The following is a 12709-nucleotide window of genomic DNA, read 5'->3' on the forward strand; positions in this document are numbered from 1 at the left end:
TCTGGGCCCCTGCCTAGCCAGAGAAACTTGAGCAAATCATAGGACTTCTCCATGCCTCACTCTGCTCATCTGGAAATGGGACAATAGCACACCAAGCCAGCGCTCCACAGGCATAAACTTGTGGAATCCTCACAGCACACCTGTGAGACGGGAGCCATCATCGGCACCAGCTTCCAGATGAGGAAACTGAAGAAAGAGAGGAAGTGAGTTTTACAAAGTCACAGAGCCCAGAAGAGGCAGCATGTTGGCTCATGCAATCTGGTGCCAGGGTCTCTGTTCCTCCACCAAGCTGCTTCCCCTTGGCACAAGGATTAAACAAAATAAGCATTTAGGACCAGGCCTGGCACACACGGAGACCCCCAAAATGGATGGCAATCATTATCTTTTTTTATTGCAACAGAGTCCGCCCTCTGCCCTTCAGGGGAAATTCTTTTTCTTCTGTCTCCACCCCCTCAGGATCTTCAAGGGGGTGTAGGAGCCTTCAATGGGCTGATGCACAGAGCAACTGCCAACTCAGAAGACCCAGAGGGCCCTAAAGAGGCCTGCTTGGTAAGAGGTGCATGCAATTACCCAAGGAGATAGCATTGATTAACACATTAATAAATAACATGACTATTAAAGTCAGTCGCAGAGGCGGGAGATAATTGCCTTGGACAGGAATGGCCTCAGCCTCTTCTATGAGCTGCCTTCCCCACCTCCTTCTCCCAGTAAATCTTCACTGAAGGTGCTCTTTGGCCCAGTGCTGGCCTGAGCCTGGGAGGCAGGAGCCCTGAGCCAGGCCTGTAATGAGAACCTCAGGACCAAGGGGCGGCTGACTCCCAGGGGATAACCTGGCATCCTGACGCCAAACCCTGCAAGAGGAGCTTCAGGCATTTCATTGGTCAGCTCTGGCTGGGTCACGTTGCAGTGACAACCACCAAACCTGGTGGCTTATGACATCAAGGTGACATCTTGCTCTTGCTGCGTCCTTGCCAAGGTGCAGCTGGGGCCCTGGCCCACGGTGCTCTTCTCTCTGCCATCCAGGCTGCAGGTGTCTCCCCACCTGGAACACTTCCCCAACCTAGGACACACCCCCTGGAACATGTCCTCCCTTGGACACGCCCTCACCTGAAACACACCCCTCCTAGGACATGCCCCCACCTGGGACAGCCTCCAGGACACGCCCTCTCCTGCAATATAGCCTCCTGGGACTCACGCTCTGAAACATACGCCCACCTGGGATAGCCCCCAGGACACCCCCCACTCCTGGGACATGCCTCCTCCTGCATCACGCCCCCTGCTTGGACACACCCTCCACCTGGAACATGCCCCCACCTGGAACATGCTGCCTCATAGGAGAAGGAGAAAAGAACAGCATGGAGCCCTGACACAGTCCTCAGAGCACCTGCTCAGACGTGGAGCGTATCTCCTGGCTTCCCCACAACCCTTCACTTGGGCCCATCTCCAGGTAAACCTTCTCACAGCTGCTCCAGATCAGTGTATTTGTGTCCTGGGGCTGCAGTAACAAAGCACCACAAACTAAGTGACTTAAAGCAGCCAAACTTTATTCTCTCTCCGCTCCGGAGGCCAGATGTCCAAGATCAAGGTGGGAGCAGGGCTGGTTCCTTCAGGGGCTGTGAGAGAGAATCTCTTCCACGTCTCTCCCAGCCTCCAGTGTTTTGTTGGCAACCCTTGCCCTCCGCTGGCTTGAAGAAGCATCAGCCCCTCTGCCTTCACCTTCCCGTGGTGTCCTCCCTGTGTGGGGGTCTGGACCTTCCTTCCCCTTTTTGTAAGTATACTGGTCAAATTGCATTAGGGGACCCTACTACACCAATACAACCCCATCTTAATTCATTATAACCGCAAGCACCTTATTCCAAGTAAGGCCACATTCTGAGGTCCTGCAGGTTAAGACTTCTACATATGAATTTCAGGAGGACACAGTTTACCCCATAGAAGTCCGTAACTTGGGATTTGGCTTCAGACTCACCTGGGGGTCAGCCCTGGTGGCCCAGGGCTTGCTCTTCCTATGGCTGTGACCCCTCAGCCCTGCTCCACCCACCCTGCCCCCTTCCCCTCAGGAGTCTCCCAGCAGCTGGCCTTTGGCTCAGAATCCCAGTCCCTGCCATCTGCCATCGGATCCTCCAGTCACCAGCTGCTTCCTAGTACCTGCTGTGGTCAGATGTGTCCCTGCAGGAAGTGAGTGACATAGTGTGAGAAGTTTACAGACATGAGTTCAAATCTCAGCTCCTCCACTTAGAAACTGTGCGACACTGGGCAAGAATTCTACTTCCCTGAAGGAAGTCCTGCTGGCACAGGGCAGCTGAGGCTTTGGCAGGGTAGTAAAAAGCCCCAAGGCCTAGCACTCACCTCCTCCTCTTCCTGACAGTTTGCTAACCTCCCAGGAGCGACAGCCTTGCTCCATCTAGGCTTAAGAGCCTCTGACCCTTCCCTAGACACACGGGAATATTCCTGAGCTCCTGCTGTGTGCATGGCAAAGCCCAGAGCAGGCTCTCTCTCTCCCACTTCTGACCATGTCTGAACCAGCCGTCAGGGCCCTGTGGTGTTGGAAAGAAAGGAGGAGCCTTTGCCTGAGAATCTCGTATGTATTGTAGTATTCAGTGGCAGTGCATACACGTGCACAAACACATACACACACGTGCACACGTGCTTTGTCATAGCCTGTTTCCCCAACCTCTGGGGAAAATCAGTCAACACTTCCTCCTCTCCAAGCCACATTCTTTGTAGGGCAGCCTTGTCCCTGCCAGAAGCCACCTCCTGCCCAGGATGACTGAGCACTATTTAATCACCCTCAATCAAGAGTGTGACTCCCACAAAATGACGGCTCGTATATACACACACATTAAAGCAAATGAACTTCCATGATTATTGTTATTACCATCATTATTAGGGAAATTAGCGATCATGAGCTGCCCGGAGCCCCATGCTGGAACCCATGTGAGGTCTGGCCTCGGCTCTGCCAGGCCCTTCTCCCCACACGGAGGCAAGAGCCAGGCCCTCAGCTCCAGCCCCCTTCACCCCTCACCCCTCTAGTCCCTAGACATTTGGGACATTGGGCATTTTGCCCTGACTTGGAACAAAACTCATCCTGGCTTCCATGTGATGAGTACTTAACACCAGCCTGGGAGGGAGGAAGGACCATCATCACTCCCATCTTACGGAAGGGGCTACTGGCCCTGGGAGGTCAAATAGCTGCTAGGGGCAGGACCCAAAGCTCTGTATTCACCGAAGACATAACACTCTCATCTTACCCCAGAGGCAGGGGCAGAGGAGGCAGAGGTCGGACCCTGGTGCCAAGGAAAGGATCATCAGAGACTATTTTCCAGGGATGTGCTTCAAACCCACTGGTGTGGCCCCAGTCTGGTCCCAGGCCCCTTAACCTGAGCCCATGAATACAGTGACACAACCTAGCCCTGCCTCCAACAACATATTAGAAGCGAATGGGCCATTCATTGGTTTTTGGTTTTGTTTTGTTTTTTGTTTTTTTTGCTTTGTGTTTTCCAAAAGCCTTCAGCTTTGTTTATTGCATCCCCACCTGCAGCCTGGCACCATTCCTGGGGGACCTCCTTGAGCAGGTTCCTGGGCTCTGAGGCCAGCCACGTAGTGGAGACGCTTCCACGCACCAGCACCTGCCACATGCCAGGCACTGTCAAGACAGCCCCGAGCAGCAGGTGTTCAACCCCCACCTTCCAAAGCAAGGGTGAGGCCGGGCAGGTGACTGACCACCCAGAGCAGATCACTGGGGGATCCAAGACTGGAACGGGGGCTGCCTCTCTCCACTGTCTGGACCTTTCCACGCTCGTGCTCCTGGGACCATAAGATGCCACCACCCTGGCCGATGACCTCCACGCCTGGCCAGCCCTTCACGGAGTCCTCCCTGGCCCCGGGCCAAGGCTGCTTTGCCAATCCCTTTCCCTTTGTACTCACCGACCTCAGCCTCCGGAGGCCCGGAATCATTCAGTTATGCCCATCTTCTGGGTGCTTAGAACCACATATGAGGGCTCTTTCATCCCTGTCCAGCCCTAGAACCCCGAGGGGACTTCAAAGCTCATTTCCAGTGGCCTTTGACAAGGCACAATTCCTGCCACCCAAGTGCTCGTCTCAGCTGGAGCACAGCCATTCACACGCTGGGATGGAGAAGCCCGGGTGTGGGATTTTAATCACTCACTTGCAGTTCTCCTTATGCCTGGGTGGCCAATGACCGGGCGTCTGGCCAGAGCTGGTGGCTGCCCCTCTCAGGCTCTACCCGGGACAACCTAACAGTAGGGCCTTGACCTTGGTGGGAGAAGAGCCCACGGGTGCACAGGGCTTTGGCCGACCAGGAGTGGGGCTGGTGGGAGGTGGAGGCTGAGGGCCCCAGGCCAACAGACCTCCATCCTCCCCTCACCCCACCAGAAGCTCAGTGGGGATTAGACCCCTTCACCCCACCAGGAGCTTACTGGGCATGGGACCCCCTCACCCCACCAAGACCTCGGTGGGCATGGGACCCCCTCACCCCACCAGGAGCTCGGTGGGCATGGGACCCTTCCTGGGCCCGGCAGGGCATCTTGTTTGGTTTCTTTAACCTGTTTATTTTCAGAATCTTAGGTTCCCATCTCCCATTCAAGCAAGCAGTGTCGAAGGAATGTAACCTTCTCCTTATTACCCACCTCTCTGACAATTTGCAGAGCTGTGGCCCTCATCCCTTGAAGCCCTGTGATCAGATGAGCTGAAGACTGCACAGGGAGTGGGCAGGGCTGGCCACACGGGGGTCACAGTGCTCCCTCTCCCACCCCAACACAGTCCCCGCCACCCTCTCCTGGGGAAAGGAACGCGGCTTAGCCAGGACCACCAGGCAAATGCCCTGTCACGGCCCCAAGCTCCTCAGTCACTGCAGGAGAATAAACAGGGAGGCAGCTCTGAACTAAGGGACCCTCTAAGGTGTTTGTCCAGCATGGACCTGAATTTCAGACAGATGAAGATCCCACCCTGGGCCTCCAGCAGCAGCAGAGGGTGGGGGCTTCCATCATTTCACCCCACCCAGACTCAGCACCACTGCACAGGGCAGCCTTCCCAGCAGGGGCAGGAGGCAGGGGAGGGGACCCGCAAGGAGGGGAAGGACCTGTCTCGTCAGCTCCACCTCACAGCTGTGGGGCAGAGGTTCACACTGACTGCAAAGCCAGCTTCTGCTGAGATCAGCCTCTCCACTCCTTCAACAGCAAATTCCGAGACTCAGGGGGCTCCAGCCTGGTACTCTCCTGAGGGAGGCCCCAGTGTCCACATATGTGGCACCCACCCACATCCAGACATGTCCCACCCAGCACGTCACCCAAGAGTGTCCTCCCTCCACCCACACCCAGGCCAGTCCCGCCCACCATGTCACCCCCATGAGTGTTCACCCCTCTAGCTGCTCATCCTTCAGGCTTCTCCAGAGGGAGTGGCGCTTACAAACCAGAGACAGCCCCAGGTATGATGGTATTTGGGGAGCTCACACCCTGGCAAGGGGTCAACCCTAACCAGCCTTCCGAGGCAGAGCTTGGTAGGAAGCCCCTTGTTTAAGAACTTCAGGATCCAGTACATTCAGGTTTCTGTCCCCACAGCAAATAGACTATGAGGTCTGTGGGCTCCACATGCAGGTCTCTCCATGACAGCAGAGAGTGCACACGTGGTGTGGTTTGCAGCCCTTTCTCAGGAGACCAACCCCATCGAGAAAACCCTCCCCCAAAGGCAATCATTACACCCCAAAGGTACCATTGGCAGACCCTCTGCTGCCCTGCCCTGGCCGGGTAAGCAGATAGCTTCTGAGCAGTGCAGGGTGACAGGAGCATCTTACCACTAAGCAAACAAAGACGTGCTCAAAAGCTGGGCCTGTGCAAGGAGAAACAGGTGTGTGCACCTCCAGCACCTCCTGTCCATCAGGAAGCAGTGACTAGAAAAGAGGCTGGAAGTCCACACTGAAGGCTGATGGGAAACCAATTCTAATAACATTAGATGGAGGGACAGGGACTGGGCTCCCCTGGGAGAGCTATGACCTACAGCTGCCTCTGTGGAGCATGGCGGACTCCACGTGCACTGCCTGTTTCCAAAGTTGATGCTGAGAGTCCCCAGTGCTGTGGGGAAACCACGTTGGGGTGTCGACTGTTCTCTTGGGTGCCGACTGGCAGAAGACGCATGGACAAGATTAAGCCCACCCAGGGAGCAGACTTGTACCACAATGAAATTTCAGACATGGAGATGGAGACTGAAGAGGGTTTAAAGAAATAAACACCATCCATAAAACCTTGTGATGTCACCCCACGAGGAAAAAAACCTTGCAGGTTCCAAGGTGGCCTTGCCCTGTGACTGCTTCTTGGGAAACCAGAGCCTCTGCCAATGTCAAGGGGTATGAACCGCAGACATCTTTGGAAGCCAGTGCAATGCGCGGTGGGGGAGGGAGATCCTTGGCGACAGGCACCCATGAGGCCTGTCTGGGAAAGTCCTGCCTGGAAGAGCAGGACCCTTCACTAAGGGCCCAGCATGTCAGGGCTGCTCCCCACACAGCAACTGAATGCCCTGTTGGCCCTTTCCATGAGCCAGGCACTGATCCAAACGCTCCATGTATCAGATCAATGTATCCAAGACAATGCTATTGTCCCAATTTCACAGATGAGCAAACTGCCCAAGAAGGTTAAGTATCACACCCGGGGTCTCCCAGCCAGGGCACAACAGAGCACAGCAGCAGATCCCAGCGTCAGGGCCTCGCCAAGAGACCAAGTGTCCAGTCCAGGGTGCTGGAGGCATCCTCAGGGGCTGGTTATGTGGTTTCCAAAAGGCCTTCTCTCCCCTCCCAGAGAACAATCCAGAGCTCACTCCTGCTTCTTCCTATAGATACTCCTTCTTAGAGCCCTGCTGTCCTGAGCAAAGACTCAGTGTGCCTGGGGCAAAGCTGAGGGGCCTCGCTCCTAGGCAGGGTCCTGTCACTCACAGAAAAGGAGTATCATGGTACCCTCCTGTGGCAAGCAGCTGGTGGCTCAGCAGACAACACCTTCCACCCCTCAGGGTCTCAGCTCTAATGCAGGACTCAGTTCGAATGCAGAAACCTCATAAAGGGGTCAGCCAGACGCAGCAGTCCTCTCCTCAGACCTCAGAAACTACGTGTGACAGCTAACTTAAAAACAGCCCAGGAAAAGGAATATCTGCCTGTAAAACAGAAACAAAAGGTTCCATAAAGCCTGGGACCACGCAAAGTGCTCTTGCCCACCTGGTGGTGGTGTGGATAGAGATAGGAAGTGGCCCAGAGGAAAAATGACTCTCAAGAGCCAGCCCTCCCTCCACCAGCCATGAGCAGGGCTGTGCATTGGTGCATGCATGTGTGCCATGGAAGCACATGCTCACGTGTGCATGTGTGTTCGTGGCCATGTGTTTACACTGTGTGCAGCGTGTGTACACTTCCTGCACACATGTATGCATGCCTATGTATGTGTAAACACACCTTGGGTGCATGCACCTGGGCTCACATGTTGGGGGTGGGCCTGTGTATCATGTGCTTCCTTCTTTTCTTTCCCAAGTATCTGCTGAGCACCTGTTCAGTGCAGGCGCAGGACAGCCTGGGGATCTGGAGCTGAAACCTCCCCTCTGCAGGGGAGAACCATAAGCAGCCAGTTGCAATGCAGTATGAGCCTGCCCAGAGGTCTGTGAAATCTTTCCTCTGGGGCTGGAGAGGGAAGGCTGCCTGGAGGAAGGGAAACCTCATCCTGCCTACTGAACCAGAGGCAAAGAGGGAACCCTGTTCAGCTCTGAGGCTCAGCGCCACAGCCTGTGCATGTGGGCACTTGGTGGGTATTTGTTGAATGAATGTCTGCACAGCAACAGATCCAAGCATTTCTGTGCCCCACGAGCCCCCATCACAAGGCAGCCAGCACCTCAGCTGGCTGCTCAGAGGAGCCAGAGGGCAGGCCAATCACCCAATCACTGATGACAATCTCAGGTTAACCTGTTTGGCCCTTTTTCCTTTTCAAATACCTTCTCTTGCATCCTCCCGCTGGGAACTCCTGGCTGTTTTGACCAAAGGAATGTGGAGTCACCATCCTTTTCCTACCCCTGAGCCAGAAACACTTCCACAGCCATTCGATGAGCCACACATCAGTTCCCGACAGGCAAACAACAATGACAACTTATTTTCATCCCCACTTCAGTCTTTGAGGTTAGACAGACCTGGATTCAAATCCAAGCTCCACCCCTTGCTGTGTGAGCTTGTTCGTGCTACTAACCTTTCTGAGACTTGAAGAGTCTCTTCATTTGTGAAATGAGGATAAAGCCCCTTCTCTCAGGGGCTGTGCCAAGGATGAAATGAGTCATGCATTAGTCAGGACAGGTGATGCTGTGTAACAAACAAGCCCACAAACCTCAGTGGCTTCAACAGCAAAGTTGACTTCTTTTCTTTTTTTTTGTGGGGTGGTGGCGGGGATGGAGTCTCGCTCTGTCACCCAGGCTGTAGTGCAGTGGCACAATCTCAGCTCACTGCAACCTTCACCTCCTGGGTTCAAGCGATTCTCCTGCCTCAGCCTCCTGAGTAGCTGGGACTACAGGTGTGTGCCACCACGCTCAGCTACCTTTTTGTATTTTTAGTAGAGACAGGGTTTCACCGTGTTAGTCAGGATGGTCTTGATCTCCTGACCCCACGATCTGCCTGCCTCAGCCTCCCAAAGTGCTGGGATTACAGGTGTGAGCCACTGCGTCCAGCCTTGACTTCTCAATTGATTTCATGTCCACCACGGGTCAACAAGGGGGCTCTGGTGGTCATAGTCATCCAGAGACTCAAACAGATGGACCCTTATCCCAGAAGATGATCCCACAGTTCCAGAAACAGAGCAAAGAAAACACAATAAGCCATGAGCCCCTTCTTAAATCCCCTGCCCAGAAGGGATACACATCTTTTCTGTCACAGCTGTCGTCCAAAATGTCTCAGGCGGCCGGGCACAGTGGCTCACATCTGTAATCCCAGCACTTTGGGAGGCAAAGGCAGGCAGATCACCTGAGGTCAGGAGTTCAAGACCAGTCTGACCAACATGGTGAAACCCCATCTCTACTAATAATATGAAAATTAGCCAGGTGTGGTGGTGCACGCCTGTAGCCCCAGCTACTTGGGAGGCTGAGGCAGGAGAATCACTTGAACCCGGGAGGTAGAGATTGCAATGAGCCAAGACCACACCACTGCACTCCAGCCTGGGTGACAGAGCGAGACTTCGTCTCAAAAAAAGAAAAAAAAAAAAGTCTCAGGCTATGTCTGAATTAGAAGGGTAGAAAGAATAGTCATTTTTTTTTTTACCACAAACCATCAAAACAAAGTTGCAGATCACTGATGTAAAATTACAGTTAGTTCCTTCCCACTCCTTTTCAGCTTCTCTTCATTGCTATGAGCCAGTGTCTTCTGTGTCAGGTTTCAGTCTGTTGCCTCCCAGCTCCTAGTGCACCTTTCAATATGTGCACTGTGATAAACTGGGAAGCACTTTTCAATATACCTCCTGGAAGTGAACATTCTGCAGGCATCTAGGTAGAGCATGGAGAGACATTGCAGAGGGCAGGAGCTCTCTGGCTGAGCCTTGATCGTGTTCAAGCCACAACCACAGACCTAGGCGTGGTCCCTCAGTCACCTTGCAGCCTTGGCCTGCAGCATCTCGACACGGAAACCAAAATGCAGCAGGGCCAATGTGATCTGAAGTTTCCTGAAAAGTTTCTCAGACCCCCTCTTTTACCCCTTGTGCAACCTGCACACAGTGACCTGTATTCCAGAGGGTCCGCACAGAGCTGCCATTCCTTCTGCCAGACCCTGCAGGACTCACGCATACTGGAGGCTTCCTGCCCTACAAAGGCAGCCAGACTCCCACCATGCATCCCTGCACCAGTGGCTCACGGCCAGCTCCCTCACCTGCACTCCAGCGGCTCACCTTCGGCTCCCTCACCAGCACTCCAGTGGCTCATGGCCAGCTCCCTCCCCTGCACCAGTGGTTCAGGGCCGCCTCCCTCCCCTGCACCCCAGCGTCTCACAGCCGTCTCCCTCCCTGCACCAGCGGCTCACAGCCAGCTCCCCACCTGCACTCCAGCGGCTCACAGCCGTCTCCCTCCCCTGCACCAGCGGCTCACAGCCAGCTCCCTCACCAGCACTCCAGTGGCTCACGGCCAGCTCCCTCCCCTGCACCAGCGGCTCACGGCCAGCTCCCTCCCCTGCACTCCAGCGTCTCACAGCCGTCTCCCTCCCCTGCACCAGCGGCTCACGGCCAGCTCCCTCACCAGCACTCCAGTGGCTCATGGCCAGCTCCCTCCCCTGCACCAGCGGCTCAGGGCCGCCTCCCTCCCCTGCACTCCAGCATCTCACAGCCGTCTCCCTCCCCTGCACCAGCGGCTCATGGCCAGCTCCCTCCCCTACACTCCAGCGGCTCACCGCCGGCTCCCTCACCTGCACTCCAGCGTCTCACAGCCGTCTCCCTCCCCTGCACCAGCGGCTCACGGCCAGCTCCCTCCCCTGCACTCCAGCGGCTCATGGCCGACTCCCTCAGCTGCACTCCAGTGCTGCCTAGTGCTTACGCAAAAGCTGCTGACTAGCTCCAGCCTGGCCAAATCCGCAAACGTCTCTTATGTGATGGCTGAACCACATTTTATGACATCTGAACCCCTTTCAAATCTGTGCTTCCTTGGGTACCTCCCTCTGCACTAGGGCACCAGGCAGAGTTGCTTTATGTCTTACAGTGACTCTTTTATCATAGTTGCAATCCTTTATACTACACTTCCCCGTTAGACCCACTGTGTGGTTTCTATCTCTTGATGGGACCCAAGCTGCTACACACCCTAACCCGTGCACATTGCACTTCATTAGTTCCCCACCATTGGCCCAAGATCATGCTCCACCACCTCTCCCTGCCCCCTGACCTTCTTTCCTTAAGTGAGTCCCCTAAATGCGATCTTTGTGCCCAAAGCTTACCTGCTCTTCCTTCCCTATATTCTTGGCCAAACACAAAAATCTGATGCTGTGGCAAATGCAGAAATGGGGAGAAGGCAGGGGAATCATTTCTCCTCCCTTAGGTAAGCACCGAGGTTAATGTCATTCCACTGTGTCAGGAATAAAAAAATGAGGCCTAGAGAGGTGCCGTGATTTGCCTGGGCCCATGAAACTGTCATGGCAGAAGTGGAACAAAGGTTCAGGTCTCCCAAATGTCAGTCCAGCTCCTATGCCTTCAGAACGTGTCCTGGAGGGAGACACCAGCTTTGATCTGACAAAAGAGGCTATGAATAAAGTTAAAAGACAAAGACAGTGCACGATATGGTTTGGCTGTGTGTCCCCACCCAAATCTCATCTCGAATTGTCCTCCCATAATTATCTTGTGTTGTGGGAGGGACCTGGTGGGAGATAATTGGAATCATGGGGGCGGTTCCCCCATACTGTTCTCCTGGTAGTGAATAAGTCTCACAAGATCTGACAGTTTTATCAGGGGTTTCCACTTTTGCATCATCCTCATTTTTCTCTGGCCACCGCCATGTAAGAAGTGCCTTTCGCCTCCCACCGTGATTCTGAGGCCTCCCCAGCCATGTGGAACTGTAAGTCCAATTAAACCTCTTTTTCTTCCCAGTCTGAGGTATGTCTTTATCAGCAGTGTGAAAACGGACTAATACAGTGCACAAAGAGGGAAAATATATTTGTAAGGTATTTGGCCAAAAAAGCATTGATACCCAGATCATTTAAAAAAAAAAAATAGGCCAGACGCAGTGGCTCATGCCTGTAATGCCAGCACTTTGGGAAGCCCAGGCAGGCGGATCACCTGAGGTCAGGAGTTCAAGACCAGCCTGACCAACATGGAGAAACCCTGTCTCTACTAAAAATACAAAATTAGCTAGGCATGGTGGCACTCACCTGTAATTCCAGCTACTCAGGAGGCTGAGGCAGGAGAATCGCTTGAACCTGGGAGGCGGAAGTAGCGGTGAGCCGAGATCACGCCACTGCACTCCAGCCTGAGCAGCAAGCACAAAACTCCGCCTAAAAAAAAAATAGCACTTACAAGTCAGCAAGGAGAAACCAAAGACCCAACAGACAAATGAGCCAGGAGCAATTCACAGAGGAGGAGACCCGAAGGGCTGGGAAACACAAGGCACACGTTCAGCTGCACCGCAACATCCAGGAACAATATTAGAAAGTACGGTAACAAATATTGATGAAGACGAGTGAAGACGGGCGTGCACACTGCTGGTGAGGGGCATTGTGAGGACTCCAGCCCCAAGGTCATCTGGCTGTGCTTCCTAGGAAGGGCTGACAAGGGACCTGTCCCAAGACCCCAAGCCTCACCATGGTACGTGCAGGCCTTGGACCAGAACATCAGCATCACCTTGGAGCAGGGGGTTGGGTGGGGGGTGAGGGGGGCGCATCCTCTGCTGACCAGAAATACACAATTCTAGATTCATCTGGAAGATATTGTTGAAGGGAAAAAGCAACTTTCAGGAGAGTATGTATGGACTGCTATTTGTATAAAATTGCAAAAACAGATCAAAAAACACTATCCATTCTTCATGGACATGCACACTAGGTATTAAACATGGATGGGAAGACACACATTGACTTCAGAATAGTGGGGAGGGAGGCGGTAACTGGACTAGAAAAGGGGCATATAACTCGAGCGTCAGCTTGAACATTATGGCTGAATCCGTAATGTTCTCTTCCCTTAAACTCTGGAGCAAATGCATCCAAAAGCTACCACGTGTGAAT

At 53.9% G+C, this 12709-nt stretch overlaps 3 annotated features.

The window, feature by feature from the left end:
* Positions 604–1104: an enhancer, noted in NCBI's record as "H3K4me1 hESC enhancer chr1:5718390-5718890 (GRCh37/hg19 assembly coordinates)". NCBI's record gives its function as "activates a minimal SCP1, AML or CMV promoter by ChIP-STARR-seq in naive H9 embryonic stem cells {active_cell/tissue: H9 hESC(naive)}" and the evidence as "EXISTENCE:reporter gene assay evidence [ECO:0000049][PMID:30033119]".
* Positions 1105–1605: an enhancer, noted in NCBI's record as "H3K4me1 hESC enhancer chr1:5718891-5719391 (GRCh37/hg19 assembly coordinates)". NCBI's record gives its function as "activates a minimal SCP1, AML or CMV promoter by ChIP-STARR-seq in naive H9 embryonic stem cells {active_cell/tissue: H9 hESC(naive)}" and the evidence as "EXISTENCE:reporter gene assay evidence [ECO:0000049][PMID:30033119]".
* Positions 10067–10748: an enhancer, noted in NCBI's record as "H3K27ac-H3K4me1 hESC enhancer chr1:5727853-5728534 (GRCh37/hg19 assembly coordinates)". NCBI's record gives its function as "activates a minimal SCP1, AML or CMV promoter by ChIP-STARR-seq in primed H9 embryonic stem cells {active_cell/tissue: H9 hESC(primed)}" and the evidence as "EXISTENCE:reporter gene assay evidence [ECO:0000049][PMID:30033119]".

The sequence above is a fragment of the Homo sapiens genome, chromosome 1 (genome assembly GCF_000001405.40).
Source record: "Homo sapiens chromosome 1, GRCh38.p14 Primary Assembly".
Taxonomy (NCBI): domain Eukaryota; kingdom Metazoa; phylum Chordata; class Mammalia; order Primates; family Hominidae; genus Homo; species Homo sapiens.